The sequence below is a fragment of the Homo sapiens genome, chromosome 3 (genome assembly GCF_000001405.40).
Source record: "Homo sapiens chromosome 3, GRCh38.p14 Primary Assembly".
Taxonomy (NCBI): domain Eukaryota; kingdom Metazoa; phylum Chordata; class Mammalia; order Primates; family Hominidae; genus Homo; species Homo sapiens.
Window position 1 is genome coordinate 42,833,727 of NC_000003.12, and position 19,303 is coordinate 42,853,029.

At 45.3% G+C, this 19,303-nt stretch overlaps 1 protein-coding gene and 1 long non-coding RNA gene across 2 annotated transcripts in view, besides 2 other annotated features; one reads left to right on the top strand and one right to left on the bottom strand.

The window, feature by feature from the left end:
• The window catches only part of ACKR2 (atypical chemokine receptor 2), a 57,842-nt gene that overhangs the window by 24,282 nt on the left and 14,257 nt on the right, over positions 1–19,303 (top strand). The window lies entirely within an intron of this gene.
• LOC124909373 (uncharacterized) lies at positions 5–18,721 on the bottom strand. The gene is made up of 2 exons (XR_007095895.1): positions 18,649–18,721; positions 5–2,233 (listed from the first exon to the last, which is right to left on the bottom strand). It is a non-coding gene; the product is annotated as an uncharacterized LOC124909373 (long non-coding RNA).
• Positions 2,891–3,185: an enhancer, noted in NCBI's record as "tiled region #4247; K562 Activating DNase matched - State 5:Enh". NCBI's record gives its function as "activates a minimal TATA promoter and a strong SV40 promoter by Sharpr-MPRA in K562 cells {active_cell/tissue: K562}" and the evidence as "EXISTENCE:reporter gene assay evidence [ECO:0000049][PMID:27701403]".
• Positions 2,891–3,185: a silencer, noted in NCBI's record as "tiled region #4247; HepG2 Repressive non-DNase unmatched - State 23:Low". NCBI's record gives its function as "weakly represses a minimal TATA promoter and a strong SV40 promoter by Sharpr-MPRA in HepG2 cells {active_cell/tissue: HepG2}" and the evidence as "EXISTENCE:reporter gene assay evidence [ECO:0000049][PMID:27701403]".

Here is a 19,303-nt window from a genome sequence, read left to right on the forward strand (position 1 = left end):
AAACCAGACTTCTGTGGCTTTATTGATCATATTAATATTGTATTTTAAGGCCATTTTCTTTTATTGGATACAGATAAACATATTAGTGATTATGTGTGTTTTTTTAGAAACCCAGATTTTCAACCCTGTGTTGAGCAAGTCTTACAAGAGCCATTTTTTCAACAGGATGTGTTCACTTTGTGTCTCTGTGTCACATTTTGGTAATTCATGCAATATTTCAAACATTTTCATTATTTTTATTTTTATTTTTTTTGAGACAGAGTTTCGCTCTTGTTGCCCAGGCTGGAGTGCAGTGGTGCGATCTTGGCTCACCATAACCTCCACCTTCTAGGTTCAAGCAATTCAGCTCAGCCTCCCGAGTAGCTGGGATTACAGGCATGCGCCTCCACGCCCGGCTAATTTTGTATTTTTAGTAGAGATGGGGTTTTGCCATGTTGGTCAGGCTGGTCTCGAACTCCTGACCTCAGGTGATCCACCTGCCTCGGCCTCCCAAAGTACCGGGATTACAGGCGTGAGCCACTGTGCCCAGCCACATTATCATTATTATACCGCTATGGTGATCTGTGATCAATGATCTTTGATGTTACTATGCAATTGTTTTGGGTGTCCATATAAGACGAGAACCTAATGGATAAATGTTGTGTGTTTTCTTTTTTTTCGGTAGGGAAGACAGGGTCTCACTCTGTTGCTTAGACTACAGTACAGTCACACGATCATGCCTCACTGCATCCTTGACATCCTGGGCTCAAGTGATCCACCCACCTCAGCCCCACAAATATGTAGGACTATAGACTCGAGCCACTATGTCTGGGTAATTTTTTTTATTTTAATTTTTTAATTAATTAATTAATTTATTTATTTACTTATTTTGAGATGGAGTCTCACTCTGTCGCCAGGCTGCAGTACAATGGTGTGATCTCGGCTCACTGCAACCTCCACCTCTCGGGTTCAAGTGATTCTTCTGCCTCAGCCTCCTGAGTAGCTGGGACTACAGGTGCGCACCACCATGCCCAGCTAATTTTTTGTATTTTTAGTAGAGATGGGGTTTCACCATGTTGGCCAGGATGGTCTCGATCTCTTGACCTCGTGATCCACCTGCCTTGGCCTCCCAAAGTGCTGGGATTACAGGCATGAGCCACTGTGCCCGGGCAAATTTTTTTTTTATTATTATTTTTTGAGACAGTTTCTCACTCTGCTACCCAGGCTGGAGTGCCAGTGGCCCGATCTCGGCTCACTGCAGCCTCTGCCTCCCAGGTTGAAGTGATCCTCCTGCCTCAGCTTCCCGAGTAGCTGGAACTGCAGGCACGCACCACCACCCTTGGCTAATTTTTGCACTTTTTTGGTAGAGATGGGGTTTTGCCTTGTTGGTCTTGAACTCCTAGGCTCAAGCGATCCACCCAACTCGGTCTCCCAAAGTGCTGGGATTACAAGCATGAGCCAGCACGATCGGCCTGAATTTCTTAATGTTTTCCTTCACTGGGCATTTAGGACCTTGTTAAAGAAGGCCTTTCATCTCCAGAGCCCATGAAGATGCTCTCCCATAGCATCTTCTAGGCTTTAAAACATTCAGAGCTTATTTGCTGTGTGGTGTTGGTGAGGGCTCTAATTTTTCTCCCCGCAACCCAGATAACCAGGGTCACCCAGTTAACAGAGCTTTAGAGTCCACGTTGCTTTCCGTTGCTCACGTCTTCACTGACTGCTCTGTTCATCTGCCTATCTCAGAATCACACCCTTTCTCCAGGACCACTCTCCTTCTGCTGGAAGTACGTTCTTCAGTGAGTTCCTTGAGTCTCACTCTCCTGAGTTTCGTGTTGTGATAAATTCTGTTTCCCATCTGGAAATGCCCTTTACCGTGAGCAGATTCTTGAACAACCATCAATTTCAACTCCTGATTCTAATTTGATGGTGAAGAGTCCCAAGTCACACTCACTGTATCCCATGGCTTCCGGCTCCCACTGTGGCCACTACGAAGTCTACTCTCAGTCTCAGCGTCTGCTCTCTGTAATCTGTGCTTTTTCCTTGGCTGCATTAAAGATCTTCTCTTTGCCTTTGGTGTGCTGCAATTTCATTATGATATGGGTGTGGATTTCTGTGCTTCCTGATTCTGCGTATTCAACCTCCACTGAAATGGGTGACTCGTGGTTCCCAGGTCCCTCCTTCCTCCTTCTGCCCACCCGAGCCTGGGCATCTTACTATGGGGTACAGTTGGGTGAAGGAGCATCATAGAAGCACCCTAGAAGAGATGATTGGTGCATTAGAAGCTGTCTGCCAGGTCTGAGTTGTGTTATGCTTATTCTCTGGGTAGTCTGAGGCAACCCCTGAGAAAGGCAGGTATTACTACAGTCAGAAGAACTGCTCCAGGAATGCATTCCTCCCCAGAAAAATCTCATATCTAAACTGAGAGTAATTCACGTATTATGGAACAATTTTCCAAACATATATATAAATTACAAACCACACCTCTCTCCCACCTCCAAAGTTGTGATGAGATAAAAGCAAAACTGTAGCACCAGCAAAACTAAATAAAACTTTGTAATAAGGCTTTAAGTGCCCTGAATCTCTTCCAAGGATCAAGATGAACCCTAGAGCTGCAATTCCACAATCCACCAGATCCTGGGACTCAGGCCATATCAACATGGTTATCTAGCTGGCATTCCAACCCCAAGAGGTTTCTTACTTGTCTGTTGCTTTCTTATTATCAAGTCCTCACTTAGGTTCTGTGTTCCTTTGCAGCCCAGACCACCCTAGACTCCATACGGCACCTCTATTCCAGCAGTATACCAGGGTCTATTAAAAGAAATCCAGAGAAACAACTCAGATGGAAAGGGCCCTGTGGCGTTCTGTTGACCATTGTCATGACTCTGTGGGGCTCTAGACCATTCTTGAGGATAGGAGGGTGACAAGCCACAAGGTGCACAACCAGCAGTGCACAAGGTGAACTTGAATACAATTCAGAGTCTGCCAAAGCCCTGCGACAGTTTTAGCCAAGAAAGGAAAGGGAGTTACTGTGTGGCATTCAAGATGGACTGAGTGAAGACTACAGATAAGTTTCCTAGGACTGTGTGGAGATGCCAGATAAATAACCTCAGGACTAGTGTATGAAATGGGCTGGGCTAATACTGACTGCTGGACTCTTAAGTCATCATCTTGCTTACTGTCATAGTTTACTGGTGCCTACCAGGAAGGTCCTTCTTCCCCACCTCTGATCACCGTGTTTCTCTTTCAAATGTCTTTTGCAGTGGTTGTCTGACAACTCAATGGTTGGTGTAACACAGGATTTGGCATCTTCCTTAAAGTTATCTGATTGTGTTTATTTCACCCTTGGGACATAATGTGCAAGACCCTAGGATGCTGGAAACATGGCTCTATCCAAGCCCCGAAGGCCTGAGAACCAGGGAAACGGATGGTGTAACTGTCAGTCTAAGGCCAAAGGCCTGAGAAGCAGGGGGGCCACTGGTATTAAGTCCTGGAGTCCAGGGGCTGGGGAGCCTGAAGTTTTTTTTTTTGGAAGATTGGGTTTCACTCTGTCGCCTAGGCTGGAGTGTAGTGGTGCAATCTCAGCTCACTGCAGCTTCACCCTCACAGGCTCAAGTGATCCTCCCACCTCAACCTCCGGAGTAGCTGGGACTACAGGTGCATGCCACCATGCCTGACTAATTTTTGAATATATATATATTTAGAGATGGGGTCTCACTGTGTTGCCCAGGCTGTTCTCAAACTCCTGGGCTTAAGAAGTCCTCTCTTCTCAGCCTCCCAAAGTGTTGGGATTAGAGGCATGAGCCACTGCGACCAGCTGGGAGCCTGCAGTTCTGACAGGAGACTAAGAGTGTATTCCAGCTCCAGCAGATAGATGGATGCAGATCACCTTTTCTCTGTTTTTGTTATCTCCAGGTCCCTGGCAGATTGGATGGTGCCCGCCCACATTAGTCCACTCATACTCTCATGCTGATCACCTCCGGAAACACCTTCACAAACACACCCCACAATAATGCTTTATGAGGTTTCTAGGTATTCCTTAACTCAGTCAAGTTGACATCTAAAATTAACTGTCACACTATTAAATATACGCTGTAGGCAATACATCTATAAAAGGGAGTATACAAAGAGGAAATCAGCCCCCATCTCCCTGGACTTCCATGCCATTTATTTTGAAAGTTAAATTCTGAATTAGCAGAAATCCTTAACATTTGACTTTATGTACAGAAATATGACCCTCTTTATGTATTTTCAGTGTTTACTGGACACTGAAGATACATAAATTTATATTATCAGAAACCTCTTTCAAATAGCCTTCCAAGGTTTGCTAATACAGACTCATCAATCATAGGCCTAAAAGTAAAACCTAAAATTATAAAATTTCTAGGAGAAAACATAAGAGAAAAAAAATCTTTATGACATTAGGGTAAGCAAAGATTTCTTAGTTAAGACACCAAAAGCATAATCCATAAAAGAAAAAGTCAATTACTTGGACTTCACCAAAATTAAGAATGTGTGCTCTTCAAAAGACACTAAGAGAATAAAACACAAGACACAGACTAGGAGAAAATATTTGCAAATCATATATCTGATAAAAGACTTTTTATAAAGGATATGGAAATAATCCTCTGAACTCAATAGTAAGAAAACACACAGCCCAATTTTGTAAAAAATGGGCAAAATATGTGAAAAAACACTTTCATTGAAGAAGATATAGGGATGTCAAGGAAGCATATGAAAATACGTTCAATGTCATTAGTTCATAAGGAAATGCAAACTGAAACCACAATGAGATACTACTTCACATTCATTATAATGGCTAAAAGTAAAAAGACTGACCATACCAAGAACTTAGGAGAATGTGAAACAATTGTAACTCTCATATTTTGTGGGTGGAAATGCAAAAATGGTATGGTCACTTTTGGAAAAACAGTTTGACTGGTTTCTTACACAGTTAAGTATACGCTTACCATTCAACATAGTCACTCTATTCCTAAGTATTTACCCAAGTGAAATGAAAACCTATGTTCACACAAAGATCTGCACGTGAATGTTTGTGGCAGATTTATTTGTTGATTACAAAAAAACTGGAGACAAACCAAATGTCCCTCAGCTACAGAATGGATTAAACTGTGGTGCATCTGTAAATGTTGCTAGAGGGAATGTAATTTGCTGCAGACACTTTGAAAAACTGTTTGGTAGTATTTGCCAAAGTCAAACGTCCTCGAAACATACCCAACAGAAAAGACTTGAATAAGAATGCTCATAGCAGCACATTTGTAATAACTCTGGAATAAAGAGTCTGACTCAATTTTTGATGTTTTACTATGACAGCTTTCAAGCCCCATCACTCCCCTTTCTCATTTTCTCCACACCTGGACATGCCTACAGGTAGCTCATGGTGCTCCCTTCCTTGGTGCAGACGGGCAGTTCAAACCACACAAACTCCAGCCTGTGGGAGAGGGATCCTTCATCCTGGACGCACCTGCCCTCTGCCCAGCCACTATAAAAACCAGAGCCACGTGCCCCTTCTTTTGCTTGAGTGTGGGCCCTGCTGTCCCCAGAAAGCCTCATTACGTGAGTAGTAACTCTTTTCAAATCCTCCTGATGAGTGTGTGGCATCATCAGTCTGGAGCTCCGAATCAATCTTGGGTGGTTTGAAGGGCTGATAACTCCCATCAACAGTGCAGCAGCAAAGCAAACCCCAAATTGGAAACTACTCAAATGCCAAGGCAATAGATGAGGATACAAATACATTTTTTGCATATTTGCCCAATGGAGCCTTTGAAGCAATGAGAATGAATGAACTGCAACTGCACGTCATCTCGCAAACATAATGTTGAACAAATGAAACCAACACAAAAGAATATGTTCTATACGACCGGTTAGCATTTTTAGAAGCTAACTTGTAATGTTAGAAGTCAGGAGAGTTGCTACCATACTTAGGGTGGTAGGTTACTGGAAAGGCGCACAAAGTGAGAACTTTTTGGTACATCAGGCTGTATTTGAAAAGATAAAAATAAATCTGAGTGAGATGGGAGAGGCAGGAGAGGATGATCGGATGCTCCAGCTCTCTGAGTGAAGTTCTGACTCTGCCCTGTTGGGCTGCGGTGTTTAGAATGTGAACCAGTCCCATCCAGTGGACAAATGTAGAAGTGCATGTAAAGGCTTAAAATATAATAGCAAGATGTCTGGTCTGTCTTGGGAGTCTCTGATAGTCGCAGCTAATTTTGGGTGTGGGTGCAGATCCTGGGCTCAGAAATGAAATAGAGCAGGCCGGGCGCAGTGGCTCACGCCTGTAATCCCAGCACTTTGGGAAGCCGAGGCGGGTGGATCACGAGGTCAAGAGATTGAGACCATCCTGGCCAACATGGTGAAACCTCGTCTCTACTAAAAATACAAAAAAAATTAGCCGGGCGTGGTAGCTGGCGCCTGTAGTCCCAGCTACTCGGGAGACTGAGGCAGGAGAATGGCGTGAACCCGGGAGGCGGAGCTTGCAGTGAGCTGAGATCGCGCCAATGCACACCAGCTTGGGCGACAGAGCGAGACTCCGTCTCAAAAAAAAAAAAAAAAAAAAAAAAAAGGAAATGAAATAGAGTATCCAAGAAGAGTCTGAGGCCAGACTTTCTGTCCTGCTACAGAGAGCTGGGTTCGCCAGGCTGAGGGAGACAAATGACTTCTCTGGTGGGAGGGATAGGAAGCAGAGAGAAAGGTGGACCCTATCCCAGCTGAGGGCTCCACTATCCCCACGCATTGTTTGCCTCACTAGGAAGTCCAGCTGGGTTAGGAAATCACCTTTACTCAGGTGCTAAATGCTAATCTCATAAGGTAGGTAGTAATGCCCATTTTTCAGATGAGGGAACTGAGGCCTGGGTAACTTGACTTGTAAGTGGCAAAACTAACGTTTGAATTCCAGTCCGTCTGGGTCCAAAACCCATTTCTAAATTATGATACTCTATGTTGAGTGTCTTAACCTTTTTTTTGTTTTGTTTTGTTTTTTGTTGAGACGGAGTCTCGCTCTGTCGCCCAGGCTGGAGTGCAATGGCGCAATCTCGGCTCATTGCAACCTCCACCTCTCTGGTTCAAGCAATTCCCCTGCCTCAGCCTCCTGAGTAGCTGGGATTACAGGCGCATGCCACCACGTCTGGCTAATTTTTTTGTATTTTTAGTAGAGACAGGGTTTCATCATGTTGGCCAGACTGGTCTCGAACTCCTGACCTCAGGCAATCCGCCCACCTCGGCCTCCCAAAGTGCTGGGATTACAGGTGTGAGTCAAGGAGCCTGGCCAAGTGTCTTAACCTTTTTTGTGCCATGGCCCCCACCCCTACCCCCAGCAGTCTGGTGAAGCCTATGGGGCCCCTCTCAGAATCATGTTTTAAAATGCATAAAATAAAACACATATGATTATCAATTCTACTGAAGTTTCTAAGAATGTCAATCCCATTGAAATAGTTACCAAGTTTTAAAAAAATTATAGTATAGCGTGTGCTATTTATGTGTATCTTTATTAATGCCTTAAATACAAGATCTAGCAGTGGGTCTGAATTTCCAGGAAGTAATGAATGTAAATATTTTTAGATGTCTGTTCTGATGGTAATGTGAAATGAAACTATCAGGGATTTCACTGGTGACAAAGTCATGGGTGACATTCCAATGAAAGAAAATACTGAATTTCCATTAGAGGTTAGTGAAAATAAGGATGTAATCTTATTCTCATGTAAGCTCAGATCTCTTGCATACCAGGTATGGGTCCTTTGGGGATCCATGGACCTTAGATTAAGACTCCTTTAATTGTTGCCTCTGACTCCTCTCCCTTTGCCCCTGACTATTCCCAGGGCTTTGCTGGAAACCTGCCTGTGAGCTGACAACTAGCAAAGAGTGCTAAGTGTTTGTTAAACAAGGCAAGATCACAGTGTTCAGCAGACACGAAAGGCCTCAGATGGGCTGTTGGACCCAGAAATACACACAGGAATAAGATGCAGCCTTGCCTTCAAGAAGTCCCCAGCCTAGTAGAGGCAATGTCTCTATAGGTTATGATTTACCTCCAGATGAATTAAACAGGCAAGAAGTGAGTGCTTTGGGAACATACGAAGAGTAATCCAATGGGCTGGGTAGTCCAGGAACGTGTCCTCTACGGGATGATACTAGGGTTGAGACTGGGATGGGCAGCTTTAGAAGGGGCCAGGAACACCTAGTAGTTAGGCACACAGGCTCTCTCATCAGCCTGGATTCAAAACCTGGCTCCATCACTCCCTAGCATTGGGATTTTGGGCAAGTCTTCCTGATCTCTCTGTGCCTCAGTTCCTCATTTGTAAAATGGAAATGACCCTACCGCTTCATAGGGTTGGTTGGTGTGAAGATTAGATGAGTTTAGGTGTTGTCGGCCACAGTGATGGCACTGATTGTCATTGGAGAGGTAGACAGAGGTTGAGGCCTTTCTGGGCATTAGAAACAGCACAAACTGTGCAGAGACAGGATGGTTTTCTTGTGAAAGGAACTGGGCAGAGAAAGTCATGGGTTTGATGAGTTAAGGTGGAATGGACAAACATGTTTTATTTTTCTAGTTATGTTTTTATTTGTTTGCCTTGGGAAATAACATCAAATGTGTGATTTTACTGATAATATTCCATAAAACAGGACTAGAGTGAGTATTTAAGTTTTAAAGAGTGGTGAGTTGATTTATAGAAGATATATTTATACAATAATACATAGTATAGGTGGTAGAGGGATGTGGCAAAAAATATGAAGGTGACAGCAATGCCTCATTTTAATCACTGGATTAGGAGATAGGAACCCTCTTCACCTTATGAATTTTTCAAAGTTCCTCTGGCTCAGTCCAGCAATTCCTGAATCCCTGAATGGGACAGAGGCTGACAGCAAATGCACAGTGTTTGGGAAAAGCCCAGAAATTCTGTCCACACCCAATTCATTTCTGAATACACTCAAGGGCAATATTTGAAATTGAAGGTCACCACCCAGAAGCAGGTTATGAAATCAGTTAATTACATGGTGGCTCACACCTGTAATCCCAACACTTTTGGAGGTCGAGGCAGGTGGATCATTTGAGATCAGGAGTTTGAGACCAGCTTGGCCAACATGGTGAGACTCCATCTCTACTAAAAATACAAAAATTAGCCAGGTGTGGTGGTGGACACCTGTAATCCCAGCTACTCGGGAGGCTGAGGCATGAGAATTGCTCAAACCTGGGAAGTGGAGGTTGCAGTGAGCCCCAAGATTGCACCATTGCCCTCCAGCCTGGGTGACAGAGTAAGACTCTGTCTCCAAAAAAAAAAAAAAAAAAGAAAGAAATCAGTTAATGAGTCATGTCTAGCTATTTATTTATTTATTTATTTATTTATTTATTTATTTATTATTCATTATTTTTTGAGATGGAGTCTCTCTCTCTCTGTTGTCCAGGCTGGAGTGCAGTGGCACAATCACGGCTCACTGCAACCTCTGCCTCCCAGGCTCAAGCGATTCTCCTGCCTCCCGAGAGTAGCTGGGATTACAGGTGCCCACCACCATGCCCAGCTAATTTTTGTATTTTTAGTAGAGACGGGATTTCACCATGTTGGCCAAGCTGGTCTCGAACTCCTGACCTCAAGTGATCTGCCCCCCCAGCCTCCCAAAGTGCTGGGATTGCAGGCATGAGCCACCATACCCAGCTCATGTTCAGCTTTTAAAAACTATGAAACAGAAAGGAATAGAAACTATCCTTTTCATTGGTAGTTGGGTAATATTATTTTGTGAAACTTTTTTTTTCAGGTGTGTGTATGTGTACAATAGACTGCCTGGTAAAATGCATTTCCTATTGTGGGATACAGACAAAAATAACTGCTTAGATGGAAACAGGCCTGGATTCTCATCCAAATTCTCCTCCTCCCCTGCTGTCTAGCAGGGTGGTCTCCATACTCTGTGAGCCACAGAAACAGGTTAATTTTGCTGGGTGGCTAACTGAGATGGCAAAGTGCTATGTTTATGCCTGGTGTTCTGATTTAGCCAAAGTGTTCCTGAGCCTATTTATATGCCCAGAACTCTCCATTTAGAGGGAATTGAGTTCTTTAGGAGAGAGGACTGGGATCAGGCCAAACAGGCCATGAACCCATGTTCCCTTTTCCAGATTCCAAGCCCACACCCAGAGCTTCTGCTTCCAAACATTCCATCACTTTTCCAGTTACAACATTTCCATATCTTTCATGACTTCCTCATTTTGTAGCCACACTTCCCACTCTGATATGTGATGTGGGTGGGGCACGTGCTCATTCCTGGAGCCGCCTCCCTGTTGTCCCACCTCTACCTCTCCGGGAACCCGCTGTGCTGTGGGACAGGAGGAGACCTAGCGGACAGCCTTTGGATAAAGCAGGTAGATAAGCATTGGAGGGGAAATAGCCCTGGAGCAGACTCTGAGACAAAGATTTGAGTGTAAATTTTAGGTTGAACTATATGAAATTGCCATTTTTATAGGTCAAAAATCTCAAATATTGGCAATGTCATATGGTCCCACTAACAGTTTATCTGGAAGTTGGAGACATGGGCAGGAGAGTGGGGAGGTGAGGCAGAGGAAGGAAGGCAGCCAGTGAAGAGTGTGTTAGCAAACCAGCTTCCCCTGTGGGTGGTTGGACTTAATCCCCCAGGAGAAACTCGGGGAGACAGTGCAGTGCACACACCTTGGAGTTATTCCACCCAAGGGCAAGGGAGGTGGGGTATTTAGGCACCAACTGACCTCAGTCATTGGTTGAGGGTTCTTGGTGGGGGGCAGGGAACATTATGTCCTGGAATTTCTGGCATGCTGCACTGGTGGGCAGGGGCAAGACAGGCTTTGTTAGCCAGAGCAAGGCCACAGACAGAGCAGTGTGGGTACTCACAGCTGGAAGTCAGCCAGTGTGTGCCCAGCAGGTGGGAGCTCTGGTAGACGAGGGCCACCAATGGTGCCTGCTACAGGAGCTCTGCCAGGGGATTCCAAAGGTGCCTTCAGTGAGCACCTCTGGCCACACACTCATGTAGATGAGAAAATATGATTGTAGTTTTCTAGAAGAAGCTATTTTCTATTTTGAGACCCCCATTCTACAGGATATGGAAACTTAATTGCAGTCACTGTGAGGGTCACCACTCGCCCAGAATTACATCAGTTCCAGGAAACTGGTTACTGCCCAGGTGCAGGGGAGCATGGTGCCACCTGGTTCTTGGTGGCACCTGTCCACACGGGCCTCCACTTAGACATCAGCATCCTGCCTCCCTGTTGGACATCAGCCTATGTGTCCACACTCAGGGTAGTCCACTAGCACCTTCAGGCCTGGCAGCCCATTGAAGACTTCATTTGATTGCTTCAGGCTAGGGCATGGGATGGGGCTACCTGTGGCCCTGTTCACCTTGGACTCCCCATGTGCCATGTCCCTGTGCCCCCTAAGTCCCGCAAACACCAGGACCGTGGCCATAAGACAGGGCACGGTGTCCCTCTAATGTTTAGACTGACCTGCTTCCCTGCTGCCTCTTACCTTCTCAGCCTGGGGAATGCTTTTTTAGTTTGGTATAGAATAGAAAGAGAACCTTAATTTTCTCAAACTCCTGTACTCAAAGACCAAGAAAAAATTCAAAGACCCTTCCTGAGTCTCACTGTTTGAGCAGAAGAAAAGTGAATGGTGGGAAAACACCAATTAACACTTGATTGATTGATTGATTGAGACAGAGTCTCATTCTGTCACCTAGGTTGGTGCAGTGGCATGATCTCGGCTCACTGTAACCTCCACCTCCTGGGCTCAGGCAATTCTTGTGCCTCAGCCTCCTGAACAGCTGGAACTACAGGTGCATGGGACCATATCTGGCTAATTTTTTTGTATTTTTGGTGGAGACGGGGTTTCACTGTGTTAGCCAAGCTGGTCTTGAACTCCTGACCTCAGGTGATCCACCCACCTCAGCCTCCGACTGACATTTTAAAAAACGTAATAGTGCCTTAACCCCTAGGGAAACCCTGGCCCCACCCTTAACCATAAAAAGAAATTGGTCAGGCATGGTGGCGCATGCCTGTCATCCCAGCTACTTGGGAGGCTGAGGCACGAGAATCACTTGAACCTGGAAGGCGGAGGCTGCAGTGAACTGAGATCGTGCCACTGCACTCCAGCCTGGGCGACAGAGCAAGACTCCGTCTCAAAAAAAAAAAAAAAAAGAAAAAAGAAAAAAAGAAAACAAAAGAAAAGAGAAAAACAACATCATAAAACTACAAAATGTATCTGGGGAGAGGGGAAAATATCTGATTCAGAAGGGAAAATCCTGTAAACTAACTGGGTGGAGGCTGAGGGTGGGGGTGGAGGTAGTCTGGTCCAAATCCCAGTGCTGCAATTTGGAAAAGTTACCTAACTCTCTGTGCCTGATTTTCCTCATTATAACATCGGGTTCGTGGGAGGATTAGACAAATTAATACATGTAATGCACTTGAAACAGTGTCCTGTCCAGCCCAAGTGCCATGTAAGCATCAGCATTATTGTTCGGCCCCTAGTGCCCTGTCTGGAATGAAACCCAGGACAGGCCCTCAGGAAGGGCTTCCTGGATGGACAGATGGGGTGATAAAGTGAAGGGGTGGTCAGGCAAGGTCCCCAGTTCTCAACTGTTGATTAGCTGTCAGCTTTCTCAGTTTCCAGAGACCTTGAAAATATTTAAAAGAAAATAGTTCCCAAGAAATGAAACTGGCTCCAGAAAGCTGACAGCTCATCCTGTCCATGACACTTACCCACTTCCAGGGTCACCTGCAAACACCAACTTCCTAGCCTTACAGTATGTGATCTTCTTTGCCTGGAACCCGAGGGTGCATCCAGCTGCTGCTATTTTTGTCCCTGGCTTTGGGCTGAACTAATAATGTTATGAGAAATTTTAAGAATTTGTGTTGGGCTGCATTCAAAGCTGTCCTGGGCTGCATGCGGCCTGTTGGTTGGATAAGCTTGCTCTATAGTCACTTTACAGACAGGGAAACTGAGTCCCAGAAAGCCTCAGGTGGTGGAGTCTTTGTATAAGAAGCGGTAAGACCACTGTTAGGTAAGAGCAAGTAATTCTAGGAAGGCTTTCTACATCAAAGCCTGCATTCTCCCAACAAACATTTACTGAGTGTCTACTGTGTGTCCAGTGCTGGCTGGGCTATGCAGTGGGGGATGTTCAGATGAGCAAGCAATAATTCTGTCCTGGAATCACTAACCAGATCTGAGGTGGAGGGGCTGGGGAGCAAAAAGGAGCAAATAATTACACAGAATATTCACAAAGACAATGAGCAAAAGAGCACCGGAGTAGGAGTCAGAAAGTCCATGTGGCTGCTATCAACTGTGTTTCTGGGCAAGTGACGGGGTTTCTGAATCCTGGCAACCCTGTCTGCAAAATGGATGTGATAACTTCAGCCTGGCCTAACCCACAAAGCAGATGTCTGGAGAACCACTCTGTAATTCTAACATGTAGTAAATATGTAAGTGAAGATATTTTGATAAATGAATACATATATTGATTTCAAACAAATGCATTTGTAGCAAGGCAAGGGACTGGCAGTTGGGGAAAGGATTATACATAACCCCTTAGCTGAAGGGTGCCTTGGGCAGATGTACAAAAGAGGAGATAACACAGTCTGAGTGGCCAGCGGGGGCCAGGCTGGGGACAGCACAGAAAGAGGAAGTGGAAGAGGTGAGAGGAGCATCATTTCCTTCCTTTTGTGCCGTCAATGGAGCATGTTAGGAAGATCTGAGGTTCTGGCATAACAGCAAATAAAAGTGAGTAAATGTGGGCTCTAACCAGGCTTCTAAATTGGAGGGCAAGTTTGTAGCCTAGGAATTCAAAGTTTTAAGGCCCTAGAGAAGGACTGGACTGACTCTCTCATGAGTTAAGCCAGAATGGGGTGAATTTTGCCCAAGGAAGACAGAGAAATAAAAGAAAAAGAAACAGTGAGACAGAGGATGAGGCAGGGCCAACCCAGGGCTCTCCCATCAAAAACCAGGCTGTCAAGAGCTGCCAGACTCAAGAAGGGGCAATCAGAGCATGAGCTTGGTGGTGCTGGAGGGAGGATGCCTGATGGAGAGCAGGGGTGGGGGTGGGGGATCTGGGGCTACCTGGCCAGGCTCAGCCCTTCCTGGAACTCTTTGCCTGTGGAATTAGGACTGACTCCTCCGACTGCAACCTGCCCATTCCAGGAAAAAGCCCAGCCCTTGTTGGGAAGATGCCTCAGTGAGTTTCAGGGAAACGGGAAACCTAGTTGCTCACACAAAGGCTCAGAGGTCTCCCAACCACCTGCCCTGCATACCAGGGAGTGTCTGACGTGCTATGGCTGGGGGGTGACACTGAGGGAGTGACTTAGCCGTGGGCCACATCTCATTAGGAAAAGCAGCTTAACAGGAAACAGATGGGTTGAAATATTTTAAAAGAGGATGAGACAATTTGAACAGCAAGATAAATAATGAGAGTAACAGGATAAAATAAATACCCATGAGTTCATACTAATATAAATACTTAAGAAGAAAGGCTAACTCTTTTAAAAAAAAAAAATTTTTTTTTTTTTTTTTTTTTTTGAGATGGGGTCTCCCTCTGTTGCCCATGCTGGAGTGCACGGCACAATCTTGTCTCACTGCAGCCTCCACTTCCCGGGCTCAAACAATCCTCTCAACTCAGCCTCCCAAGTAGCTAAGACTACAGATGCATGCCACCACACCTGGCTAATTTTTGTGTTTTTTGCAGAGATGAGGTTTCGCCATGTTGCCCAGGCTAGTCTCGAACTCTGAGACTCAAGCCATCTACCTGCCTTGGCCTCCCAAACTGCTGGGATTACAGGCAAGAGACACTGTGCCAGGCCCAGCTCTTTCTTATAATAGAATTCTAATTAATACATGTAGAAAGAATTCTAATTAATATATGATGGAAATAGAATATCACCATTTGGAAAAAACCACAGTAATAATTACTGTTGGAAAGTATAAATGGATGCAAAAATTAGTGGACAAAAGCATGATGAGAAATAGGATATTTGTGTAGTCTCAAAGTAGCAAGATACTTACTAATTACAAAAGGTAAATAGTAATTTCACAGTGGAAGAACTTGTTAGATACCACATTTTTCAAGTGATCAAAGTTAACATTGCCAGGAAAGAGACATCTTTAAATTATGTACCTCTGATACGTATACTGAGGACATAAGATCACTTCTGTGTTGTTCCTGCCCAAAATACACAACCTCAGTCTAATCCTGAAGAAACACCACACTGAAATTTAGGGACATTCTACAAATGAACTGGCCAGTACTCTTCAAAACTGTCAAGGTCATGAAAGACAAAGCAAGACTGAGGAACTGCCCCAGAATGAAGAGACAAAGGAGACATAAGAACCAAGCGCATTCTGGTTTAGATCCTGGGCCAGAGAAAGGACATTAGTGGGACAACTGTTGAAATTTGAATAAGGTGTGTAGATTACTCAATAGTATCATGTCAATGTTAATTTCCTTGTTTAGATTCTTAGTCAGTACTGTGATTATGTAGATGTGTTAAAAGTAAAACCTTAGAGGCCGGCTGCTGTGGCTCGTGGCTAGAATCCCAGCACGTTGGGAGGCTGAGGCAGGTGGATCACTTGAGCTCTGGAGTGGGAGACCAGCTTGACCAACATGGTGAAACCTTGCCTCTATTAAAAATACAAAGATTAGCCGGGCATGGTGGTGGGCACCTGTAATCCCAGCCACCGGGCCGAGGTAGGAGAGTTTATTGAACCTGGGAGGCACAGGTTGCAGTGAGCCGAGGCCGAGCTCACACCATTGCACTCCAGCCTGGGCAACAGAGTGAGACTCTGTCAAAAAAAAAAAGCAAAACCTTAGGCAAAGTAAATGGAGTTTAATTGAGCAAAGAACAATTTGAGAATCAAACTAGATTAGGTTCAGAGAAACTTGGGTGCTGCTGCATGTGGAAGAAGACTTATGGACAGAAAAGGAAAGTGATGGACAGAAAATGGAAGTGAGGGACAAACAGCTGGATTGGTTACAGCTTGGCGTTTGCCTTATTTGAACACCATTTGAATGGTTGGCCACATGCGATTGGCTGAAACTCTGTAATTGGCACAAGAATAGGTTATAGCCTGTTTATACATTCAGTTTGGTTACAGTTCATTATGTGTGGAGAAATCTTTACGCCAAATTTAAAATATGTAAGTTTTATATATTAAATGTATAAAATACATGTCTTATATATTAAAAGTATATAAAAATATATGTTTAGCCTTAGGCTAAATGCAATTTAACTGATGTTAATATTAGGGGAAGCTGGCAGACAGGTATCCAGGAATCTCGTGCTTTATTTTGCAAGTCTAAAAATTATTTTAAAATAAGGATGTACAAAAGGGGGGAGGTGAGGGAGAATAAAAAAGGAGCCCAGGTCCTAGAACTTAGCTGTTCTGTGGGAGGGACCGAGGACCCTGTGGCTCTTGTTGGGCAGCTCCTTGGGTCTCTCTATTGGAAACTAGTGTTTGGCCTAGAGAAACTTGGAGGCCTCACTTGAAAGGTCCCCTGCTTCCTTCTGCCTGAGTAAAAACCCATCATAGTCTTAATGTCCATTCTTGGTAGCCTGTGGACCCCAGAGAAAGGCAAATGTCTAAGTCCATATCCATCTTCTTGGGACATTCCGTTCTCTGACGCCTGTCTGAGGGACTATCTGTACCCCCAATAAACTTGCAAAAACCGAGGCCCAGAGAGGTGAAGCCACCATCTCTAGGTCACACAGCCAGTAAATGCAGAGCCAGGTCCAAGCCCAGCTGTGTGTGACTCCAATGCCATGCCTTTAACCACCTGACATTACTACTCTATTATTGCTCAGTCCAGGTGGAGACAACAGGCATTCACCAAGCACTTGCTGTGTGTCAAGGGGGCAGTGGGACTGGAGGTGAGGGTGGCTGAGGTACTGATCCTGGACCACAGGTGCTGTCCTGGGAAGGCAGACCCTCATACTGCTAAGCATATGTCAGGTAATGCATCATATATCCACAGTCATTCATTCATTCAGTCTCTGCTCTTGCCTGTCCCTGGGCTCTGGGTGGTGGGTCAGATATGGTCCTTCCCCTGAGAGCTCCTGACCCAGCAGGGGAACAGATAGTTAAATAGGCAGCTAATCATACAGAGATGCCATGAAGGGGAGTCGGGGAGAAGGGAAAGAAAGAGGGAAGATGATTTGGAAAGTCTGGGAGATGAAACTATTGGTGACACAGTGGGTGTAGCAGACACAGCCCTGCTCAGTGGGAGTTATGGCCAGAAAAAGAGATTGGGTGGAGTTTAGAATTGGGGCAGAATGGGACTGAGATCTTGCTGAGAAGGTATCCAGGATGAAGAAGCTGAAGGTGATGTTGGGAAGGCCCTTCAGGTAGACACAGGGTAAACAAAGGCCTGGACCTCTGGGATGGGCTGTTAGTGTACTTGACCCAGCTACTAGGGAATCATTCCAGAGAGGGGATACATGCTTTCCAAACACTATCTTTGGGGGATGCTCTTTTATGGGGTGGGAGTCATCTGAGCTTGACTCTTATCAATGAGAGAAATAGCTCATGGCTATGCAGCTGAGATGAGGGCTGGGGCAAGGGCAAAGGGATTTTTTTTATTCCAGTTGAAAGCAGGATATACATAGGCTGCTGTCCAGAGAGGGGATGAGCGCATGGAAAGGAATTACACTCTGTCTGCACTTCCCTGAGGAAGAGGCACCTGGCGCTGCCGCTCTCCTCCCAGGCTTGTGGTGGACATTCTCAAGCAAGTCATTCTGGCTCCGGTAGGTTATAGCCATACTCGGGGTGTGGGGTGGGGGTGAGACTTCCCAGGGGACACAGGGAGAGACTGAACCCAGTGGCTTGGGGAGTGGGCACAGGTGCTGGGAAGAGGGAGGTGCTAAGTCAGTGCAGAGCTTTCTCTCCAGGGCAGCTGTTGGAGCAATTGCTTCCAGCACCTGGAGAGTGATGGGTCTTCTGACCTCTTTCCCTTCCTTGACTCTGGCTCTGAGAATCTGCTTTGCAGATTCTGAAAACCCCTGAGAGTTGGTTCTCCAACCTGGCTGGGGGAGCTCAGGCATTCCTTTCCATCTCTGGGCCTCAGTGTTCCCGGCTGTAAGATAATGGGGCAGATGAGATGGTCTTTAAGGGCCTCTCTCCCAGGGCCAAAGTTTCACAGCTCTGTGGTCTCTTCTTTTGCACATGTCCACCCTCTCCCCATCCTGCTCCTTTCCCAAATTCTTGGCCCCCTTCCTTCTGCCCAAAACAGTTCCAGATTCAAATAGTCCCTGGATCTCCTCCCATGCATCCCAGCCTGAATCAAATGTCATTTAATCAGCGAGTTTATTCATTTTAGGGGCTGGAAGAGAACCAATAGTATATGCCAGGCCCTTAGTTTACCATAATAACCCTGCAAGGGAGGCAGATTATAGGTGAGAAAGCTAAGTATCAGAGAGGTTAAATAATGAGCTCGGAGTTGCACAGCCATTAAGAAGTGAGTTAAGCTATATTCTGTCTGTTCTACCCTGCCTATTCTGTCTATTCTACCATGCTGAGTGTCCTGCCTTTCCTGGGGATAGTGGGGTTTCATTTTCATGCTGAAATACACACGCAAGGAGTTCTCATGGGAACATTACAGGCAACAAGTACAGAGGCAAAAAACAAAACATCAAAAAACATTCTGGGAAAGACATGAAAGTCTCACCTTCTGCAGCAGCAGCTCCTTGAAGGGTCGGGCTCTGAAAGTGCTTACTTTTTGTTAGCTGAAATAAGTTTTGGGAGGAGGGTTACTCTTGTGATTTTATATATGTCACAAACATCTCTATCTCCTGACCAGGCCAGGAAACATTGAGTGATGTGGGGTCCCAGGGAGCGTGGGGAGCAGGCAGGCCTCACATATCTCAGGAGAAGCAGACAGCTATGTCTAGCTGGAAGCTGCAAGGGGACTCCTGCCCTGCTGAGGAATGGACAAGGCCACTCCCTTCCAGCCAGACTTTGTGTAATCTGGTGTACCAGACGTGGCTCTGGGCATGAAAACAGACAAACAGGATACACTAAGATGTTCCTGTGGGTTATTTTTGCAGTGGTAGCATCTCAGGGGACTTTTGTTTTTGTTTTTTGGCCTCTTTTCTATTTTTCCACTGTATTTCCACATTTTACATTGAATATATATTATTATGGCAATCAGGAAAAAATAACATGTTAAAAAAGTAAGGAGAGAGAGTGTGCCGTGATCTGGAATCAGAGGCCAGCTGATTCCTCTGGCCAGCTGTGCCTGGCTTACAGTGTGGCCCTGGATTTCCTGGGAAACTAGAGAGGCGATACCTGTTCACCCCTTCACGAGGGAGCCAGGAAGACAC